This window comes from Homo sapiens, chromosome 3 (genome assembly GCF_000001405.40).
Source record: "Homo sapiens chromosome 3, GRCh38.p14 Primary Assembly".
In the NCBI taxonomy this organism is placed as follows: Eukaryota; Metazoa; Chordata; class Mammalia; order Primates; family Hominidae; genus Homo; species Homo sapiens.
Window position 1 is genome coordinate 45,302,863 of NC_000003.12, and position 22,404 is coordinate 45,325,266.

The 22,404-nt window shown below is 45.4% G+C and overlaps 1 long non-coding RNA gene across 2 annotated transcripts in view, besides 7 other annotated features; it reads left to right on the forward strand.

Moving 5' to 3' along the window:
- Positions 3,222–3,722: an enhancer, noted in NCBI's record as "H3K4me1 hESC enhancer chr3:45347576-45348076 (GRCh37/hg19 assembly coordinates)". NCBI's record gives its function as "activates a minimal SCP1, AML or CMV promoter by ChIP-STARR-seq in primed H9 embryonic stem cells {active_cell/tissue: H9 hESC(primed)}" and the evidence as "EXISTENCE:reporter gene assay evidence [ECO:0000049][PMID:30033119]".
- Positions 3,723–4,223: an enhancer, noted in NCBI's record as "H3K4me1 hESC enhancer chr3:45348077-45348577 (GRCh37/hg19 assembly coordinates)". NCBI's record gives its function as "activates a minimal SCP1, AML or CMV promoter by ChIP-STARR-seq in primed H9 embryonic stem cells {active_cell/tissue: H9 hESC(primed)}" and the evidence as "EXISTENCE:reporter gene assay evidence [ECO:0000049][PMID:30033119]".
- The window catches only part of LOC105377061 (uncharacterized), a 30,085-nt gene continuing 12,708 nt past the window's right edge, over positions 5,028–22,404 (forward strand). For both annotated transcript variants that reach the window (XR_001740679.1, XR_001740678.1), the window contains exons 1-2: positions 5,028–5,613; positions 6,896–7,289. This is a non-coding gene — a long non-coding RNA (uncharacterized LOC105377061). The remainder of the gene's footprint in view (positions 5,614–6,895; positions 7,290–22,404) is intronic.
- Positions 9,031–9,594: an enhancer, noted in NCBI's record as "NANOG-H3K27ac-H3K4me1 hESC enhancer chr3:45353385-45353948 (GRCh37/hg19 assembly coordinates)". NCBI's record gives its function as "activates a minimal SCP1, AML or CMV promoter by ChIP-STARR-seq in primed H9 embryonic stem cells {active_cell/tissue: H9 hESC(primed)}" and the evidence as "EXISTENCE:reporter gene assay evidence [ECO:0000049][PMID:30033119]".
- Positions 9,595–10,156: an enhancer, noted in NCBI's record as "NANOG-H3K27ac-H3K4me1 hESC enhancer chr3:45353949-45354510 (GRCh37/hg19 assembly coordinates)". NCBI's record gives its function as "activates a minimal SCP1, AML or CMV promoter by ChIP-STARR-seq in naive H9 embryonic stem cells {active_cell/tissue: H9 hESC(naive)}" and the evidence as "EXISTENCE:reporter gene assay evidence [ECO:0000049][PMID:30033119]".
- Positions 10,157–10,720: an enhancer, noted in NCBI's record as "NANOG-H3K27ac-H3K4me1 hESC enhancer chr3:45354511-45355074 (GRCh37/hg19 assembly coordinates)". NCBI's record gives its function as "activates a minimal SCP1, AML or CMV promoter by ChIP-STARR-seq in primed H9 embryonic stem cells {active_cell/tissue: H9 hESC(primed)}" and the evidence as "EXISTENCE:reporter gene assay evidence [ECO:0000049][PMID:30033119]".
- Positions 10,721–11,282: an enhancer, noted in NCBI's record as "NANOG-H3K27ac hESC enhancer chr3:45355075-45355636 (GRCh37/hg19 assembly coordinates)". NCBI's record gives its function as "activates a minimal SCP1, AML or CMV promoter by ChIP-STARR-seq in primed H9 embryonic stem cells {active_cell/tissue: H9 hESC(primed)}" and the evidence as "EXISTENCE:reporter gene assay evidence [ECO:0000049][PMID:30033119]".
- Positions 19,137–19,637: an enhancer, noted in NCBI's record as "H3K4me1 hESC enhancer chr3:45363491-45363991 (GRCh37/hg19 assembly coordinates)". NCBI's record gives its function as "activates a minimal SCP1, AML or CMV promoter by ChIP-STARR-seq in naive H9 embryonic stem cells {active_cell/tissue: H9 hESC(naive)}" and the evidence as "EXISTENCE:reporter gene assay evidence [ECO:0000049][PMID:30033119]".

Sequence of the window (22,404 nt, forward strand, 5' to 3'; positions counted from 1 at the left end):
AGAGAAAAGAGTGCTGGTAAAGGTAATTATGTGAGTAATTTCCTATTTCATTTAAAAGAGAGTATACTTTCATTTTCCCCTTATTTTTATATTCTATAAAACAAAATATTTACATAATTGCATTGTTGGGTCTATTACATATAGAAATACAATATATTTGACAATAACAGCACAAAGGAAGCAGGTGGAGGATGAAGCTATATTAGAATAAGGAAATGATACTAGATGGTAACTCAATTACACAGGAAGAAATTAGGAGAATCAGAAATGGTAAATAAGAAGATTAATATAACAAACTCTACAAAGATATATTTGTTGTCCTCTCAGCTCGTTTAAAAGACAGAAAACTGACTGGGCGTGGTGGCTAACACCTGTTATCCCAGCACTTTGGGAGACCGAGGCAGGCAGATCACAAGGTCAGGAGATCAAGACCATTCTGGCTAACACGGTGAAACCCCGTCTCTACTAAAAATACAAAAAAATTAGCCAGGTGTGGTGGCACGCACCTGTAGTCCCAGGTACTCGGGAGGCTGAGGCAGGAGAATTGCTTGAACCTGGGAGGTGGAGGTTGCAGTGAGCCAAGATCATGCCACCACACTCCAGCCTGGGTGACAGAGCAAGACTCTGTCTCAAAAAAAAAAAAAAAAAAAAAAGAAAGACATAAAACTATATAAAGTAATACTTTATAGTATTACTATAAAGTATTACTATAAAGTATTACTATAAAGTATTACTATAAAGTATTATATATAATTATATATAGTAATACTTATAGCAAGGTATTATAGAGTAACATACATATATAGATATATTTGTATAACTTTGGTAATATATAAAAGGGTAGGGAGGAAATAGAGCTATGTAGGACTAGAGTTTATACATATCATTCAAATTAAGTTAATAAATATGAAGTAGATTCTAATAAGCTGAGTTATATAAGCCATACAGCAACTAATAAGGAAATAACTTGTTAAAAATCATTAAAGGAATTCAAATGTTACACTAGAAATGATTCACTTAATGCAAAAGAAGGCACTAAAAGAGGAACAGAGGAACAAAAATAGCATGCAACATATGGGAAAAAAAGGTCAAAATTGCAGAAATAAATATAACATATTAATAATAACAATAAATGTGAATAGATCAAGCATTACAATCAAAAGTCAGAGATTGTCAGACTGCATTTTTTAAAATCCACCTATATGTTCTCTACAGGAAACACACCTTAGATTCAAAGATATAAATTCAGTCATGCATCACTTAATGACAGGGATACATTCTAAGAAATGCATCATTAGACCATTTTGTTGTTGTACAAACCTCATAAAGAATACTCACACAAATCTAGATGGTATAGCCTACTACATACCTAGGTATACAGCATAGCCTAGTGCTCCTAGGCTAAACCTGTTCAGCATGTTAACTACATGGAAAACTGTAGGCAACTGTAATACAATGGTAAGTATTTGTATATCTAAACATAGAAAAAGGCATAGTAAAAATATTGTATTATAATCTTATGAGACCACCATCATATATGCAGTCCATTGTTGACCAGACATTATCATACAGTTCATGACTGTAGATTGAAAGTAAAAGAATGGAAAGAGATATGCCATACAAACAGCAGCCACAAGAGAGATGAAATATCTATAGAAATATCAGACAAAATAGACTTTAAAACAAAAATATTACTACAGTTAAACAGGAACATTTTATCATGATAAAAGGGCCAGCCCATTAGGAAGACATAACAATTATTAACATATATGCACCTAAAAGCAGAGTCCTAAAATACTTGAGGGAAAAACTAACAAAGTTGTTAAAGCATGACCTGCTCACGAGAAAGAAAAAAAAAAAAATGAAAAGAAAAAAAAACAAAACAGAATTGAAGGGAGAAATAAAACATTCAATAATATTTGAAAACCTCATTACCCCACTTGCAATAATGGATAAAACAACTAGGCAGAAGATCAACAAGGATACATAAGGTTTGAACAACACTATAAACAACTAGATCTAACAGACATCTATGGAACAATCCATCCAGAATATATATTGTTCTCAAGTACACATGGAACATTCCCCAGGATAGATCATGTGCTAACCTATAAAACAAATCTCAATACATGCAAAAAATAAAATAATACAAAGTGTATTCTCCAATTACAATGGAATCAAATTAGAGGATCAATAACAGGAGGTCATTTGGAAAATTTACAAATTTATTTCTAACTAACAAGAGAACAAAGAAGAAATCACAAGGGAAATTAGAAAATATTTTTTGTATTAGAAAATATAAAACCAGCGGGTGTGGCAGCTCACACCTGTAATCCCAGCACTTTGGGAAGTCAAGATAGGCAGATAGCTTGAGGCCAGGAGTTGACCAGCATGGCCAACATGGTGAAACCCTGTCTCTACTAAAAATACAAAAATTATCCAGGCGTGATGGCACACACCTGCAATCCTAGTTACTCAGGAGGCTGAGGCACGAGAATCACTTGAACCCGGGAGGCAGAGGTTATAGTGAGCTGAGATTGTGCCGCTGCACTCCAGCCTGGGTGACAGAATGAGACTCTGCTCCCCGACCCCACCAAAAAAAAAAAAGAAAATACAAAAATATAAAACACTAAAACTTACGGAATACAGGTAAAGTAGTGCTTAGAGGGAAATTTACAGTCACAAATGCCTATATTTAAAAAAGCAATCTGAAATCAATAGCTTAATCTTCCATGTTAGGAAATGAGAAAAAGAAGAGCAAACAAAACTCAAAGCAAGCAAAAACAAGAAAATAAAAACTAGAGTAGAAATAAATAAAATGGAGAACAGAAAAACAAAACTTATGTTTTAGAAATAATTAAATACTTTTAAAGAAAAAACTCTATGTATTAGTACCTTTAACAGAACTTGTCTCCCATGTGGACAAGGGCCTCCACATTTTCGTTTGCACTGGGATCTACACATTAGCCAGCCTTTGAAGCAGGAATTGGTCTAAAATGCAAGCCATACTTTGTCTTTTAACTGCTTAAAACCCTTTTCTTTTTCCTAACTCCCCATTGCCTTTATGTGGCTTTTCAGTATTCCCCAAGATTCTCGCCAATCTCATTTTCTGCTCTTCTTTACATTACACCTTGTACTTCGAAATCATAGACCTCCTTGTCATTCCCTGGGCATCCCATGCTGCTTTTCATACCTCAGTGCCTTTTCACATACTGCTCTGTTGTGATGTGTCTTCCCCTCCTGCTCTGCTTTCTGCCCCACCTTTGACATTTGTAACCCCACTCAGCCTTCATCTCTGCCCTGAAGCCTTGTCTAGAGCCCTAGTTAACTGACAGCTCTTTTGTGTTAATTCTGTACCGTTTACACACTTCTCGTTGCTTGTGTATGTTTTAACTGTCTAAATGCCAACGTCTCCCTGATTGAAGTTTCCTCTAAGATGGGAACCCTTTCTTACTTATTGCTATACTCCAGGGATCAGAGTAAATATTCACTGAACTGAATCATAAGGAGAATACAGCTCTTCCCCACCTGAACCAGTGAAAGCATTAAAGAAAATGTAGGTTAGTGTATTACAACCAGGCATGGTGGCACACACACACATGAGCAGAGAGCTGGCCTCAGATTGAGAGGTGACAGTGTGCCGGCAGCCCTCGAAGCCCTCGCTCGCTCTTGGCGCCTCCTCGGCCTCGGCGCCCACTCTGGTCACGCTTGAGGAGCCCTTCAGCCCACCGCTGCACTGTGGGAGCCCCTTCCTGGGATGGTCGAGGCCGGAGCTGGCTCCCTCAGCCTGCGGGGAGGTGTGGAGGGACAGGCACCGGCGGGAACCGGGGCTGCGCACTGGCACTTCCCGGCCAGCTAGAGTTCTGGGTGGGCGTGGGCTTGGCAGTCCCGCACTCGGAGCGTCCGGCCTGCCCCACTGGCCCCGGGGCAGTGAAGGGCTTAGCACCCGGGCCAGCAGCTGCGGAGGGTGCGCCAGGTCCCCCAGCAGTACCGGCCCACCGGTGCTGAGCTCGATTTCTCGCCAGGCCTTAGAGGCCTCCCCGTGGGGCAGGACTCGGGACCTGCAGCCCACCATGCCTGCACCTCCCCCCCCCACCCCACCCCCGGCTCCCCACCCTGGGCTCCTGCGCGGCCCGAGCCTCCCAACGAGCACCACCCCCTACTCCACGGCACGTGGTCCCATCGACCGCTCAAGGGCTGAGGAGTGCGGATGCACAGCACGGGACTGGCAGGCAGCTCCACCTGTGGCCCCAGTGTGGGATCCACTGGGTGAAGCCAGCTGGGCTCCTGAGTCTAGTGGGGACTTGGAGAACCTTTATGTCTAGCTAAGGGATTGTAAATACACCAATCAGCATTCCGTATCTAGCTCAAGATTTGTAAACACACCAATCAGCACCCTGTGTCTAGCTCAGGGTTTGTGGATGCACCAGTTGGCACTCTGTCTCTAGCTAATCTGGTGGGGACTTGGAGAATCTTTATGTCTAGCTAAGGGATTGTGAACGCATCAGTCGGCACTCTATCTAGCACAAGGTTTGTAAATGCACCAATCAACACTCTGTGTCTAGCTCAGGGTTTGTAAATACACCAATTGACACTCTGTATCTAGCTAATCTAGTGGGGAAGAGGAGAACTTTTGTGTCTAGCTCAGGGATTGTAAACGCACCAATCAGCACCCTGTCAAAACGGACCAATCAGCTCCCTGTAAAACAGCCCAATCAGCTCTCTGTAAAATGGACCAATCAGCAGGATGTGGGTGGGGCCAGATAAGAGAATAAAAGCAAGCTGCCTGAGTCAGCAGTGGTAACCTGCTGGGGTTCCCTTCCACATTGTGGAGGCTTTGGTCTTTTGTTCTTTGCCGTAAATCTTGCTACTGCTCACTCTTTGGGTCCACACTGCCTTTATGAGCTGTAACACTCAGCGTGAAGGTCTGCAGCTTCACTCCTGAAGCCATGGAGACCAGGAACCCACCAGGAGGAACGAACAACTCCACACGTGCTGCTTTAAGAGCTGTAACACTCACTGCGGAGGTCTGCAGCTTCACTCCTGAGCCAGTGAGACCACGAACCCACCAGAAGGAAAAAACTTCAAACATATCCGAACAGCAAAAGGAACAGACTCCGGACACGCCACCTTTAAGAACTGTAACACCCACTGCAAGGGTCTGCGGCTTCATTCTTTAAGTCAGTGAGACCAAGAACCCGCCAATTCCGGACCCAAGATCACAAATCTGAAACCAACCAGCAATATGACCCTTGGCAATTTACCTAACACCCGCGAACCTCAGTTTCCTAACCTGTAAGTTGGGGGTGATAATACCAATTTCCAAAAAGATGTTGTGAGCAATAATGCAATACTATGAATAAAGCAATTGATGGAGGGCCTGGCTATTGCTGATTATCATCATCAAGCTCTTTGTCTAATAGCATTTGGGGAAAGGAATGAAATTCCCAGATGAGAGACAAAGTTGACCATCAGAGTCTGCAGAGTTTGCATACCCACATGGTATCAGAGGTCTCCAGTAAACGCAGTTACTCCTGGGATCCATGAAGACAGGACAAACAGTGAGCTGGTAGCAGCAAAAGCTAATCAAGTTAATTGAGATTCTATGACCAGGTATTTCTCTTGAGTGCTTTACTTATTAACTCATCCATTTCCCACAGCAAGCCTATACCTTTGCTTATATAATTATAATTAACCTATTTTATGACAAATAAAGGGAAACAGGCCTAATTGTATGGTGTGTAAGCTGGACCACAGAGGGAGGTGGGTTGCTAGGGTAACACAGCTGATTGTGGTGGAGCAGGGATTTTAACCCAGAGAATGTGGCTTCAGAGTTTAGGTCCTTAATACTAAGCTATGCTAACTCTAGTTAAAACATCGTGCAGCTTTTTTTTTTTCTTTTTTTGAGACTCTGTCTCAAAAAAGTGAGTCTCTCGGCTCACTGCAACCTGCCCCTCCCAGGTTCAAGCAATTCTCCTGCCTCGCTGGGATTACAGGCACGTGCCACCACACTCGGCTAATTTTTGTAGTTTTAGTAGAGACAGGGTTTTGCCATGTTGGCCAGGCTGGTCTCGAATTCCTGACCTCAGGTGATCTGCCCACCTTGGCCTCCCAAACTGCGGGGATTACAAGCGCGAGTCACCACTCCTGGCCTAAAATATTGTGTAGCATCTATGTGCCAGAAACTGCATTAAGTTTTCCATAGATGTACTGGCTCACTCAATACCCTTTCTAACATCTTTCTAAAGTACCACACCATATGGCAAAGACTGAAATGCTGTGGCATTTTCCAGACCCCCTAACTGTTAATTTCCAAATGTGATTTAGGTTCAATGCATCTGGTGATCTTGTGCGAGACTTTGGTTTGTAACTAAGTTACTTAAATAGAGAAGCAGGGTGGGAGGCATCCATTTTCCTGGTACAACTTAGGTAAGAGGCAGCATGGTCCTGGAGTCAGCAACTGTAGTGGCAGCGTCCTAATTCTTTAGTTTCCTGGTTAGGCAGAGGAGTAGCTCTTTTGGTGGTCGAGGTCTGCAGTGTAGCTTTGGCAGTTGTTCCTGGAAGACCAGCCAGGATTCAATTTGGGCGCATTTTCTATTCTGCTTAATAAACTCCTTAGCTAGAACAGATTCTGTTGTCTGCAACCAAAAGTCTCCATCAATACTGTACACATGGATTCCTTTCCTATGGAACTAGCTAGTATCTTCATGAAGAAATTGAAGCTCAAAGAAGTTAAAAGACTTGTCAAAGTCACTGAGTTTTGTACATGGTAAAGCAGGAACTCAAACTTAGTTCTGTTCAACTTCAAAGCCTGACCATTAACCACTGTATTTTACTGTTTCTTGCCATTGACTGTCTTTTTTTTTTTTTTTTTTTTTTTTTTTTTTACTGCTAGGCTCTGATGTCAGCACAACCCATTATTTTGGAGAGTTCTTTCCGGCCTGAAAGTGATGCTTATTGCTTTATTCACAATCTACTGGCAAGAACTCAGCCACGAGGCCACACATGATCTCAAGGGATGCCAAAAAAACATAAATTTAAAAAATACATCACATGTAATGAAATGAAGCCTAGCCACCTGCCCAGGAAGAAGAGGAAATGGGATCAATTATCATTCACCAGTGCCACACTGTCCAAGCTGGCTTCACAGAAGCCTCAGTTGAGTCAGTGCCAGCCCTACTCTCCTCCCTGGTACTTAATGGTCTGTCAACAGCAGTGATGCAGAAGCAAGGGTGCTGGAATGGAGACAGGAGTCCTAGTGCTGACTGCCACTGGCTGTATGACTCTGGGTAAGTCATGTCGCTGTTCTCGACCTCAGTTTCTGCCTCAGTAGAATGAGGGGTTGGACTAGCTCCGTCTACCATTGCTCTCACATTGAATGAGATTTTCACTATGCTAGTTCCCTCAGTTGTACTTTTGTCTAGAACAGTTTTCAAAGTGTTTAATCTTTCTTTCAAAAGACAGGTCACCTGGAACCCCAATATATTAGTTAGATAACAGGAGAGTTGCTTTGGCTGGAGGCAGGAGAGGAGCAGGGATTCCACTCTCCTGTGGTGACCCCTAAAGTGTCTCTATGGACCTTAGGACTCATGGGCAAACTTGTAAAAGCAGTTGTCTAAACCACAACAGATCCCAACCAATGTGAATACTCAGGTTACCTGAACAGCACAAGTAACCCCTGGATTCATTCTTTCATTCCTTCCCCCACCAAATCCTACTGAGTTCCTATTTTGGCTTTTATTTTATTATTTTTTAAATTCAAACACCAACTCGAAGCAGAGAGTTCCTATTTTGTGAGTAGGAAAGTGGAATGTTAGGCATGTGGTGTCAGAACTTGGTTTAAATCTTGAATCTGACACTTAATAACGAAGGTCTCAAATTCTGGACAAGTTTTTACTTCTTTCTATCTCAGTTTTCTCATCCATGAAAAGAGGGAAAATATATATCTCATTATACGTATTATTCTATCCCCTTCCTTGCATTATCTTTCTCCTTGGCACTATCACCTTGAATATACCCTATAATTAACTTATTAATCTTGTTTAGTGTCTGTCTCCCCGACTAATGTCAGCTCTATGAGGCTGGTGACTTTTGTCTGTTCTGTTCAATGATGTATCCCAGCACCTACTACCACGCCTGGCACAAAATCATTGCTCAATAAATATTTGTGAAATGTTGTTGATAATCTTAAAGCATTCAGGATGGGGCCAGGTGCATTATAAGCATTTGGTAAATGTTAACAGTTATTATTTTTATTAAGTGTTATGGATGAGGATACAGTGTTGAAAAAAAATCAGATAGTGCTCCTGCCTTCATGAATTTATACTTGGAAGGGAGACAGATATAAAACAAAAAAGCAAAAATATATATTGTAAATTGTGACAAGTGTTAGAAAAGTTTAGGATGTTATGAAAGGGTACAACAGAAAGATATCATTTGGGTTTGGGCGGGGAGTAGAGGGTGGGGCTGGCCTGAGAGGAAACCATTTACACTGCAACCTGACAGGTGACCAGGGATGGACCAGGCATGAAGGGACAGCGTTCCAGGCAGGGGGAACAGGGAGTGTGGAGGCTTTAATGCAGGAAGGAACATGGAACTTCTGGGATCTGAGGGAAGACCAGTGGGGCTGGTTAGTGAGGTGGACATGGACAGGAAACAGCTGGAGAGGCAGGGGGCAGAAGGTACAGCACATCGTCATCCCCATGGGGCTGATAATTTACCCAACAAGCCATGGGGCCAAAAGGCAAGTGCTGTGACTTAAGCAGAGAGGGACAGGGTCATATTCACAGACCCCCTGGCTACTTAGTGAATCCCCCTGGAGGGTGAAGAGGGGAAATGGGGTTCAGAGGCAACATTTCACCACGTGCACTGTATTCCATTTGTCACCGTTCTCTTTCTGTCATTTGTTTGCCACAAGTGTTGAGTTACTTAGTCAAACTTTTGCCTCTCGATGTTTACTAATCAAATTCTAGTGCTTAATATTGAAACTGCAGGCTCTTCTGTTGGTGAAAGAACTCTCATCCCAATAAGAAAGAAAAATGTTGCTTCCTTCCCTGCAGCTGCAGAAAAGCAGACACTATTCCATTCTAAGCTGTCTTTGAAAATGTTCTTTATGAAAAGGTCTTTTCTAAGATGCCTAGATTTTGGAGATGGTTGCTCTGCCCTATAACTATAATTTTTAAACCCTAAAAATGCTATAGTTTTAATTGATCGCCCTGGTAGATAACATTTTCAGTGACATTCGCATTTTCTAAAAGCAATAAGTACCTGTGAAGCTTCTTTCTTATGCTGAGAACATTAACCGTCCTTCCTTCTTTCTTTATAAGACAAATAAACCCTTTGTAATTCTTATTTCAGCCGAGTTTGGGAGCTTTGGCTTAGTTAAATTAACAGAGGAGACTTACAGGGAGCTTTTGCAAAGTCAGGTAAGAGATGTGGCTTGGGTTAGGATGGGGGTGGTGGGGAGGAGAGAACTGGGAATTAGACGGAATGGGGAAAGATTTTGGAGATAGAATAGATAGGACTTGGGAAAAGACTGAACCGCACATGGGAGGTGAGCAGGCAGTTTGAAGATGACTCCCAGGCCCTCGGCATGAACAACATGGAGGGTTGTCCCTGAAAAGAAGGGGGAGGGCAGAATGTCCCCTGGAAATCTGTTTATGCCCCAATCGTGATGTCAGGAGGCCCTTTATGCAAAACTTCTCTCCTTAGAATGAAACTTACAGGCCACTGAGTGTTCCTGTGTCAGAACAGTATTGGAGGAAATGGGGTGGGTGTGGGTGGAGGTGATACAAGTTCTTAGTGACTCAGAAGGTGGATTTTCCTCCACAGATGTCTCTGACCATGGATTGGGACATGAATGGGAGCAGAGCTCCATTCCAGAGTCCCCAGAGAGGAGGCACTTTTGCTCGAGCTTCACTCAGCTGTGTCCTCTGGATGCTGGGATATGAGGGTGGCATGTGGTTGGGGGCATATTTCACACACCATTGAATCTGTGATATCAGATTTTTCTATAGGAAGTAAGGATGGGGCTGAACAGCTAAGGAGAAACTTATTGGAAATTCCCTTTGAGAGAATGAATATATGAATGGATAATGGCCAGGCTGTATGTTAAAATAGAGCTCTGTCCCTCAGTCTGCAACCTCCAGTTCAGGGAGCCAAACCACAACCTTAGTAAGAGTTGGCCACAAAACAACCGGAATGTAATCAATAACTGCCAGCTTCTCTAATTTGTATCCCTTTCCAACTTAAGACCAACCATGGAAAGCCAAATGTGCTCCCCTAAGCAATCACATAGGATGCCCCACTTCAAGTTCTCCCACCTACAGCACCCTCCATACCAGCAGCCTTCTATTGGGGCATATCTGGAGCCTTCCCTTTATTCACTAACAAGCTTTCCCACTCCCCTGCCTGCCTGGGAGTCTCTGCCAAACGCAACTGATGCTGCTGACTTATTTGCTACAGCAAGCTCTGAATAAAGAGCCTTTATTTGTTCTCATTTGGGTGGACTTCATTTATTTACACACATGGCCCCCATCTGGGCGTCATCAAAGCTACCTTGCTGGGTTTCATGCGCGTCCGTGTGAAGAGACCACCAAACAGGCTTTGTGTGAGCAACGAGGCTGTTTATTTCACCTGGGTGCAGGCGGGCTGAGTCTGAAAAGAGAGTCAGCGAAGGGAGATAGGGGTGGGGCCGTTTTATAGGATTTGAGTAGGTAAAGGAAAAAGGGGGGTTCTCTGGCAGGCGGGAGTGGGGGGTCACAAGGTGCTCAGTAGGGGAGCTTTTGAGCCAGGATGAGCCAGGAGAAGGAATTTCACAAGATAATGTCATCAGTTAAGGCAAGAACAGGCCATTTTCACTTCTTTTGTGGTGGAATGTCATCAGTTAAGGCAGGAACCAGCCATCTGAATGTGTACGTGCAGGTCACAGGGGATATGATGGCTTAGCTTGGGCTCAGAGGCCTGACACTGGGGACTTGAAGGGAAGACAGACTCGGGCGTTGAGTTCTCTGTATTTGTCAGTGTTCAGGCGGGAGGCTGATTCTTTATCCGAAGTAGTGCTGGCAACGCCTAGCAATCAACCCAGCACCTTCCCAGTGTAGCAGAGAACTATGATGAATGGTAGGAGGGCCGTCTGCTGGCAGACTCTCCGAGAAACAGCTGTCAAAAGGTGTGTGTGCATGCACACACATGTTTTCCCAAAATTGTTTGTCTTCTTTACAGAAAGAAAACCCATAATGGCTGCTAGTATACCTTTAGAGTTCAGAGCTGTACAAGTGACCCACATGATATGTTCTCCTTTGCAGAGAACTCACACTGAGTATGTGCCAGCTGTCTGGAGCTGGATCTAAACCCAGCTTTCTCACTCTCCAGGTGTGATCTTGGACAAGTTACTTGACTTCCTGGGTCTCAGAGTCCTCTTGTTTTATTCCATGGACATATCCATGCTGCAGTGCTGGTCTAAGTGTAGTTCACACACCACCTGCATCTATATCTCCTGAAGTACTTGTTAAGCATTCAGTTTTCTGGGCCCAACCCAGAATTAATGAATCAGAATTTCTGGCACTGGGCTGGGATTCTGCATGACTAGATAGCTCCCCAAGTTATTTTTCTGTTCATTAAATTTTGAGAACCTCAGGGTTACTGTATTTTAGGTACTTCAGAGGTTACAATGATGATCAAGAACTGATACCCCTCTTCACTGAAGGCTTATGTACATATATATCCAAGGCAAAGCAAATTGCAAGAAACACAGAAATGGAAAAACCAAATGCCGCAGGAAGAAGATAGGAATTCCAGCCTGGGAACTCTGAGAAGACTGGTTGAAGGAAGTGGCTTTCAGTCTAGGTCTTGGGGGAGATGAAATTTCATCCTGCAGACATGAGGACAGGGCCAGAGGTAACCAGCAAGCAAAAAGACACTGTTAACTTTTACTGCATAAAGAATTATCCCCGGCTGGGTGTGGTGGCTCACGCCTGTAATCCCAGCACTTTGGGAGGCAGAGGTGGGTGGATCACCTGAGGTCAGGAGTTTGAGACCAACCTGGCCAACATGGTGAAACCCTGTCTCTACTAAAAATACAAAAATTAGCCAGGCATGTGGCTCACTCCTGTAATGCCAGCTACTTGGGAGGCTGAGGCAGGAGAATCTCTTGAATCCAGGTGGCGGAGGTTGCAGCAAGCCAAGATGGCACCACTGCACTCCAGCTTGGGCGACAGAATGGGACTCCATCTCAAAAACAAAATTATCCCCAAAATTAGTAGCTTAAAATACCCAATATTTATTGTTGTTCTTGAGTCCATGGGTCAGCCGGGAGGTTCTACAAATCTGGACCTTGTATGGCTGATCTCAGCCTGACTTGCTCAAGTGTCTGCAGTTAGCAGGCAGGTCTGCTGGGGAGTGGCTAACCTACAACAGCCTCATTCATTCTCCTAGTGTTGGCTGGTTGTCGGCTGGGTGGTTGGGAAGATGGCTCAGTGGCTAACCTACAACAGCCTCATTCATTCTCCTAGTGTTGGCTGGGTGGTTGGGAAGATGGCTCCATGATACTCCAGCAGTGTACTAGCCTGGGCTTCTGCACTTGGTGGTGACAGAGTTCCAAAGGTAAGAGCGGAGCATACAAGGCTTCTTGAGGCCCAGGCTTGGAACTCGCACATCATCACTTCTGCTATATTCTGTTGACCAAAGCAAGTCATGGGCCAGAGCAGATTGAAGATGTAGAGAAACAGCCTCCACATCTTGCTAGGACCATCTGCAAATATGGCAGCCATTTGCGAACTCTACCACAGACTTCAGCGCAGAAAAATGCTGCATTCCCAGAACCCAAGACAGCAGGGTGTTTGTGGGAACAGTGAGAGACCTAAGAACTGTGGCGGTGAATGTCCAAAGTCTCTCTGTAATTGACTCTCTCCTTAACTGTTGAATGCCCAGAATGGGCAGCTGCCAACAGAACCCTGACAGAGGGAGGGGCAAAAGGAACAGTTTCTCTCACTCTCTTCCCACCCCAGAAGGGAGGAATATTTTATAACTAACAAATATCAGAATCATTGATGCGTGTGAGTTTTTAAAAGCAGACCAACTCTTAGTCTTATTTCCCTTTCTAATTCTCTACAGACAATGCACCCGTTATTACCTATTCCCAAGGCAGACTCCCCTGCCACTGCCCTTCCCTTGGTATGCCACTGCCAGAGTCAGATCCAATGGCCAGATGGAGCCCTGCCTAGGGAGCTGGTATTGGGGAAGACGAAGGTTTTGTTTTCCCTGCATAGTAAGAGACACATCGAGTCAACACTTTGTCCACAGATCACTGATTACAATTGCATAGGCCCATTCTAAAAAGCTCAGTTAGATGCTGCCTGCCTATATGATAGATAGTATTGTCTCTGTTTCATGGACAAGGAAACAGAGGGACAGAGAGGCCCCGGGACTTACCCAAGGGCATCCAGCTAGGAAAAAAAGAAGCCAGGGCCAGGCGCGGTGGCTCACACCTGTAATGCCAGCACTTTGGGAGGCCGAGGCAGGCAGATCATGAGGTCAAGAGATCGAGACCATCCTGGCTAACACAGTGAAACCCCATCTGTACTAAAAATACAAAAAAAAAAAAATTAGCTGGGCATGGTTGTGGGCTCCTGTAGTACCAGCTACTCGGGAGGCAGAGCTTGCAGTGAGCTGAGATCACGCCACTGCACTCCAGCCTAGGCGACAGAGTGAGACTCCATTTCAAAAAAAAAAAAAGAAAAAGGAAAAAAGAAGCCTGAGGTTTGACTATGGAGTAAATGAATCCAAGGAAAGGATAGAGTTTCTGTACCATGGAGCATTTGAGGAGAGAAGAGCCCTGTTGATCTGGTTTTTTGGAGAGGAGGTGTGGTACTGACTTGTTTCTATGAGAAACCTGGCCTCAGGCAGGGGAGGGCTAGTGTCTATTTAACAACCAGCTCTGGAGAGAGAGGTAGCTCTGGGTCTTAGTTTGCTGATTACTGTGGTGTAAATACTCCCACCATGGCCCATTTCAAACTGTCAGCATGACGCTTCTGAATAGAGCCAGGAAGAAATGCACATGATGGGCTCTCCTGAGCTGGCACAAGCTGGCTCCAGTGCACTGTGGCCAAGGGGTGTGCATTAAGAAACATGAGCCAGACACACCGGCTAGAATGAAGTGATTCCACAGGTAGACAGAGGCCTCTGGCTGGTTCAGAGTGCCTAGCAGGGGAGGCTGAGGCAGGCAGATCAAGAGGTCAGGAGCTTGAGACCAGCCTTACCAACATGGTAAAACCCTGTCTCTACTAAAATATTAGCCAGGCATGGTGGTGCATGCCTGTAATCCCAGCTACTCAGGAGGCTGAGGCAGGAGAATTGCTTGAACCCAGGAGGTAGAGGTTGCAGTGAACCAAGATTGCGCCACTGCACTCCAGCCTGGGTGACAGAGCGAGACTCTGTATCAAAAAAAAAAAAAAAAAAGAATGCCCAGCAGTCTCTTTGCTGACTGCACCATCCTATGGCTTCTTTGCCATGCCCTTTCTGAAGAGCTTGAGCCATTTGGAGCTAAGGAACCCTGGCAGGGCATAGGGGGAAGGAGTTAAGAACTTCTCTCTTACACTCTATCTCAGAAGGGAAAGAATCTACGATCTTGACAAGTTTGGGGTTTGAAAAACAATGAGTTTCAACATGGTCATAAGGGCTCTGCGGGGCTGACAGGAGAGCCAGAGGAGGATGAGTTTCCTGACCATCAGGGCCCAGGTGTTGTTAGCACTAGGGAACGTATTAGAGTCACGAAGCACCAACGTATGTTACTCGTGACGAATCTGTACTGGTCTGCAGCAACCTCGATTCTTGCCTCCTCAGAAGAAAGAATTCGACTGAGGGGCCCAAGATAGAAGGAGAGACCGAGGCAAGTTTTAGACCAGGAGGGAAAGTTTATTAAAAAGATTTAGAGCAGGAATGAAAAGAAGTATAATTGGAAGAGGGCCAAGTGGGCAGCTTGAGAGATCAAGTGCTCTGTTTGACCTCTGACTTGGGGTTTTATACGTTGGCATGCTTCCAGGGCCTTGCGTGCCTTCTGCCCCTGATTCTTCCCCTGGGGTGGGCTGTCTGCATGCACAATGGCCTGTTAGCCCTTGCGAGGGGCCAGCCACAAATACAGTGTGTTTACTGGAGTTATACGCATGCTCACTAGAGACATTCTTCCCTTACCAATCTCTAGCATTCCTAGAGAAGGTCATATACCAGTTAAATTCTGCCATTTTGCCTTTTAGTGTACGTGCATGAGTGCACTCACCTAACTCCTGAAATCTTACCAGGAAGCAGCTGATCACCAGTTTCAGGTGTTTCTGTTTATTGGGAGACTGCCTTTCCCTGGTGCTGGCTGCAATCAATTATTATTTTAGAAAGACAGTTAAGGCCAGCGGCCGTGGTTCACACCTGTAATCCCAGCAATAATTTGGGAGGCCAAGGCAGGTGGATGTTCTTTACTAAAAAAAAAAAAAAAAAAAATTAGCTGGGTTTGGTGGTGGGTGCCTGTAATCCCAGCTACTTGGGAGGCTGATGTGGGAGAATCACTTGAACCCGGGAAGCAGAGGTTGCAGTCAGCCGAGATTGCACCATTATACTCCAGCCTAGGCAACAAGAGCAAAACTCCATCTAAAAAAAAAAATAAAGAAAAAAAGAAAGACAGTTAACAAACTGCCTATCACCTGATGGTCACCTGACACTCCTGGTTGTTGGTGGTGGGGCTCTTCTGTCCTGCTCATGTCTGATTAGCTACCTACTGTAACAGTGGGACAGGTGGCTGGGAAGGCAGAGAGAGGGGAATGGGACCTCTGTTTTAACTGTGTTTTCTTAGACTCTGAATTTATCTGTTTGACATCCTTTCATCACTGGGCCAATTCCTCTCTTTTCTTATTTTCTGTATTCTTGATGCTCTAGCATTTCTGACCTTGCTGAGAGAGACTGCTCCTCCCAGGGCTAGCCAATTATTAGAGATAGCAAAGGGCTCCCTTGAGGATGCCTTTCATATGAAAACTAACCAAGCCTGAGCCCTGGATTTACTCCCTCCACCCCGCCCCCCGCCCTACATCAACCCAGGGCCCAGTGAGTGTCAGACAACTAGGAACAACCTCTATGGCCCCAAAGCCATCCAGAATCATTTACTCCTAAACTGCTTACCCTATCCCACCTTATCTTTCCCACAGAAACCCTAATAAATAAAGGCTCTGGCCCAGGCTTTCCCCTTTATGATTTGCTTTTGACTCAAGGATTCTCTAACTCAAGAGTTAATTAGGCAGTTCTGGGCCTAATGAGGGCATGTACAAGTTTCATCCACAAGGAAGGGTGGTCTGTGGAGCTACCATTTCTGCCACAGTTCCAGGGTGGGCTTAGGTCAGGGCAGCAGGGGGCTTCCCTCCCCCAGCCCCAGGAAAAACAAGTATTAATGTGTTGGAGTTAGGGTAGGGGTCCAGATAAATCTTCCTCAATATAGGTTTAGCCACGCAGCTTTACCTGAAGGCCTACAGCCCTGGTCTGTCTGGGAGGGTGTGACTCCTGAACTGGAGTCACTCCAAGGCTCAGCGGGGAGCTGATCCTCAGGGCCCTGGGAGCACAGTAGATGTCCCTTTAGACATTTAGAGGCATGATTCCAGGAGGGATTTGTGGAGGAGGAATCACAGGAGCTGGGGCTTTGTTGACTCCACCATTTGGCCTAAGTCGTCCTCCCTCCCTCCATTTTCTTGCAAGTCCTCCCAACTTGGGAACATTTTGTTAAATACTCCCATGTACACACCACCCCCTGTTCACCATGTTCCTGACACTTAGCTCCTCAGTGGGTCCCCTCCCTGGCATTGAAACAGAGGCAGATTTAATACGGTATGAGCATCGTAGGGAAGGGGGCAATAGAGTCGACATGCCAACGAGCCATGGCAGGAAGCTCTCCTTCCACTACGGCTGAAAGATAAGATCCGGAATGGCCCCACTACCCTGCCAACCCCATCTATCCTCATGGGGGCTGCTCTGGAAAAGGGAAAGAGGCTGAGTTGAAAATATTTGTTCTGTTTATTTCATTCTGGTCCCACATAACAGACCTGGAGGCAACGATGAGCTCTAGGCTACAGACAGGCTGCCTTGTGGAAGGAGCCAGCTGGTTGCTGAAGGACTGTGGCTGCCTCTCAGATGGACTTGTTTGTCTTACAAAGCCCAGTCCGATTGTCCCCAGTGCAGATGGCAGCTGGCATGAGACCCTAATTGGAAGAGGATCCTGTGACCTCCAAACCATGGAAGAGGATCCTGTGACCTCCAAACCAATTAAATGATTTCTCAGGAGCTGGGAACAGCTGCATGAGGAAAGCGCTTGTGATTGCTTTGAGAAATGGGTGATTTTTTTTTTCTCCCATGGAAGTCGCTTTAGTGATCTTAAAAGGTGTTGGCTGTGGGTGCTATTCAGGTCCAGAAAATTGGTCTCGGGAGAAGGAAGAAAAGTGACATTAGCAACCTGGCTTTTTCAACACAGGCTCTAACGAGGCTGAGATGGGTTGTTGGATAAATCATTGCTTCCAACTATCAGGAAAGTTGCCTGGCCCGGAAATAGGAGAAGGAACTGCAGATACACTTCTTTGATTGGGCAGAGAATTTAGGGGATTCGGGTTTGGAGCCTAAATCGTCACTGCAACTCCATTCAGGAACGTCCCTTGGGTGATGAAACTGTTCTATGTCTTGATTGTGGGATTGTTGCAGGATTATACGCATCAATCAAAACTCACAAAACTGTAAACTTCAAAGGGTCAATTTTACTCCATGTAAACCGTTCCTAATTTTAAAAACACACATACACAGTATCCTCTAGGCCTGCTCTCCTCACCTAGACCCAGGCAGGCCTCTGTGTGGTCTGTTAATCCCCTGCCCTGCTCACACCTTCTGGGGATCCTTGTGAAATTTTTAGAAAACAAGGAGGAGGAGAAAAAAACACCAACATAGGATTATGAACACGGAGAGATCTCTAAGTCCCCGGGGAGTTCTGATAATCCCGATGCCCAGGCCACCCCTGAATGGTGAAGTCAGAATCTCTGGGGCTGGGACCTGGCCTCATGATATTAAAGTTCCCCACCCGCCAGGTTGCCTGTAATAACAGACTGAGACCCCCACTCTAAATGATGAGTGGTTCATCTTTTCAATCCTTCACTGTTCTGTCTTTGGAGATTGTGTCAGAAGACCACATTTGAGGCTCTACATTCTCCCACCCCTGCCCACACCACCCCAAACTTCAGGGGCTGGGTGCCCCCAGATTTCTGTCTTGTTGCTATGGGGATTTTCAATAGGCTCTTCTCTCTCTCACCCAAGAATCAATTTGGAACTCTGGCCGCGGGCTTGGACTGCCTCCTGCCACCTGCCATTCCTCCTTAACTTCCTGCTAACATGTGTACATATCGTGTCCCCAGAGGAAGGAACTCTGGTTCCAGCTCCCCGCACTGTGGGTGAGAGTCCCCATGAACGCTAAGACAGGGCAAATCTCTCAGCCTCTTTGAGCCTCAGGCTTCTCATCAGCACGATGGGGAGGGTTGATGAGAGGATGTGCAAGGATTCACTTTGGAAATATAAGCATTCAAAGTCTAATTAATATTTCTTATAGATGGTGCCCTGGGGGTGGGACCTCGTGTCCTTCATCTCTTGATTTCCGACAAGAGTCACTGCAGCATCCTCACATGAACCCCCGATTATAGTTTGCCAAATTAATTATTATTAAAGCCTGTTTCTCATAGAGAAAACAATCAAGCCACTTTTGGGCTGAGAAATCTTCTGGATCCCAGTAACAAGTGGGTGGGTTAGCTCAGAGCTCAGTGCAGGCCTCTAAAACGGCAGAGCTCCTGTTGGGGAACCTGAAGTGTCCCAGGTTTCTGAGGACTCCTGTCCTCACAGAAGCCCTGTGACTGTGACTGTGCCCACCCGCCAGGAGGCAGGACAGTGAGCTCTGCCTGCCCACGAGCGCTGTCCCTAGCACAGCACTGGATTGTTCTGTTTCCTTTGAGGCACTGATGAGGTACGAGACTGTCTCCTCTGGAGGGGAAAATTAAGAGGCACAGTGGGGAGCTGTGTTGTGTTTTGAAGCTTTTCCAGAATTGATTTTGTTGGGAGACATTTTTTTTTAAAGAGTCCTTTCTTGAATGTTGGCAGAGTGGACAGACTGCCAGAAAAGGCTGTGATCCGGACACCCCACCCTGTCTGTGTGAGGTTGCCCCTGCCCCTCCGCAGTCCTAGGGAGGCTGCCCATCCTACCCAGGGTGCTGTGGGCTCCCGCTCAGGGGAAACAAGCCCAGGTGTGTGCTGCACTTGGCAGATCTGCTCAGGCAGCATCCGCATTTGTTTCCCATGGTTACTATAACAAAGTGCCACCAGCTGGGGGCTTAAAACCACAGACATGTATTCTCTTGCGGTTCTGGAGGCCAGAAGTCTGAATCAAGGTGTCTCATGCTCCCTCTGAAGGCTCTAGGGGAGAATCCTTCCATGCCTCTTCCTGGCTTCTAGTGGTTGCCCCCAAATCGTTGGGTGTTCCTTGGTTTGTAGCCAATCTCTGCCACTGTCATGATGTCACAGAGCCTTCTTTCCTGTGTCTTTATGTGACCTTCTTGGGAGGACATTAGTCATTGGATTTAGGGCCCACCCTAATCCAGTATGACCTCATCCTAACTAATTTTATCTACAAAGACCCTATCTCCAAATAAGATCCAATTAGACCTGAATTTTGGGGGGACACTCTTCAGACAGGTACATTATTCTTGGGTCTCGCTCACTCCAAGGCCATAGCGCCCTCTCCTGAGACCCTGCCCTGTGTTTTTACCCCAGTACCCATTGAGGAGCCACCATGGTCATGAGTTGGCATCTAGTGCAGAGTCTGATTGAACTCTATCAGAGGGGTCTTGTAGCAGCCTGAGCAGGGTGAGCTCAGCACCACTGTTGAAGACTGGCATTGTGGTGTGAGGGAAGGGGCAGGAGCCTGGATCCAGGAGACTGAGGTCAAGTTCCAGCGCACCCAGCTTCTCATGGAGGGACCTTGTGCCCTACTGCTGAGAAGGAAGCCACCTGCAGCCCCACGTTTAATGGGATTAAGTATAAGACTGTCTACATTAAAATTATCCCCCCATTCTCTGCAAGAAATTCCTGCCCAGTAAGAAAAAGTTATAAATAACTTTATTATTTGTTTTATTAACTTTCTGAAAATCCATTTATCTGCACTTTTACTTATCACTCAACTAGACTTCATTTGGGTAAGAAGACCCTTTCTCAAACAATGCATTGTTCATTTGGGCTTATCAAGCAACCGTTTACTCTTAAGGTTCATTCAAACTTTCCCCACTCTGTGTCTCCCAATCCTCAAAGTTTATATCAGTAACTTCAGGCCGGGCGTGGTGGCTCATGCCTGTAATCCCAGCACTTTGGGAGGCTGAGGCGAATAGATTGCCTGAGTCCAGGCGTTTGAGACCAGCCTGGGCAAAATGATGAGACACCATCTTTATAAAAAATACAAAAATTAGCCAAGCATGGTGGTGCACACCTAAAGTCCCAGGCTGAGGTGGGAGAATCACTTGAATCTGGAAGGTGGAGGCTGCAGTGAGCCATGATCACACCACTGCACTCTATACTGGGAGGATGGGAGTGAAGAACTTCATCTAATCCCAGCCAGTCAGCTGCACCTCAATGAAGACTCATCTTAAACCATATCCCCCAAATCACATAGATATGGCACCCTTGAGCTGCCTGTTCTGAGGCAGTGGCCTCTCTTGAAGAAAGCAATCAGCTGAGCTCTGCCGGCTCCACAGGTTATTTAGGTGGCATTTTGTGGGGAGTTGGCAGTTGAAGCCTCTCTGAGTGTCCATCTCATATAATACACACACACACACACACACACACACACACACACACACACACATATATATATTTTTGAGACAGAGTCTCGCTCTGTCGCCCAGGCTGGAGTGCAGTGGCGCGATCTCCGCTCACTGCAAGCTCCGCCTCCCAGGTTCATGCCATTCTCCTGCCTCAGCCTCTCTAGTAGCTGGGACTACAGGCACCCGCCACCATGCCCGGCTAATTTTTTGTATTTTTAGTAGAGATGGGGTTTCACCGTGTTAGCCAGGATGGTCTCAATCTCTTGACCTTGTGATCCACCCGCCTTGGCCTCCCAAAGTAATGGCATTACAGGCGTGAGCCACCGCACCTGGCCTCCATCTCCTATATTTTATATGTTATACACAGTATATGTAAAATATATCAATGCATATATATTTTATATATTACCTATAAACATAATTTTGCTTTATATAGTCTGTAAAATGGGGATAACAGTTCCTACTTTACCTACCACACAGGTTCATGGGCTCCCCACTCTTTGGCATCCTGCACCAGAGAGGACAGTGCAGACCAGGGAAAATTCTCTCCAGCCAGGAAGCAGTCTGAGCCTGAAAGGAACAGTTGCCCACTTACATTTGGAGTCTCTTCAATGTGATGTGTCTGTGTAATAATTCTGTAAATTATAGGCCATTGTCTAAACCTTAGGGACAATTATTAGAAGTTAGATATTTTTGTCCCTCCACCCTCAAACAGAGGTTTTTGAACCAAATAGCAAAATTTTGTGAGCTAAAATTGGCTACTTGTATAGAAATTCTGGGCCCTCAACCAAGAGTTTCTTTTGTTAATTAGACATAGAAACCCCCAACCTCCCTGGGGCTCAGGATTGACTTGGATGATGTCGGGTTCCTGTGGGGAGATGGGGGCACAGTGCCAGGCAGTCTCCTTTGTCTTCCTCCACCCACCCTCTGTGCCTCATGTTGCTCTACCACATGGGAGTCACAGGAATAATTACTCGTCCAATAAGCCAAGAAATTAATATTTAATCATAGGGTACCTACTGAAAGTTTAGTAGACCTAGACCGATTTTAGAGAGTTTTCTGATAGGTATTTTATGTAAAACGGAGAAGGAAATTTTGCTATTTTGAAGTTGCGCATAATCCCTCCTAGGTTTAGCAACATATTGTGATGGCTTCTCTGGGTATATCTAATATAGACGGTGATTCTGGGGGTGAAACTTCTGCCGATCAGGTAGTTGTGAACCGAGCAGCACATCTGTAGTGTGGCCAAGAGAAAACCAAGACACAAATCAACCTTCAACTTTCCTCATCTGTCCCTACAATGTCTTTGAGACTTGGTTCTGAGTCAGGACCCCATCAAGGTTTGGGCATTGTGTTCAGTCCCTGTGCACCTTTAGTCTGTGTTAGTCTAAAATAGTTCCTCAACCTTTTTGTCCCTTATGATGTTGACTTTTGGAGAAGATGATCAATTTCTTTATTGAATATTCCACCTTCTGGATTTTGTCAGATTGTGTCCTCATGGTGTTATTTAACTTGTTTCTCTCTTATGCAAAGTGGA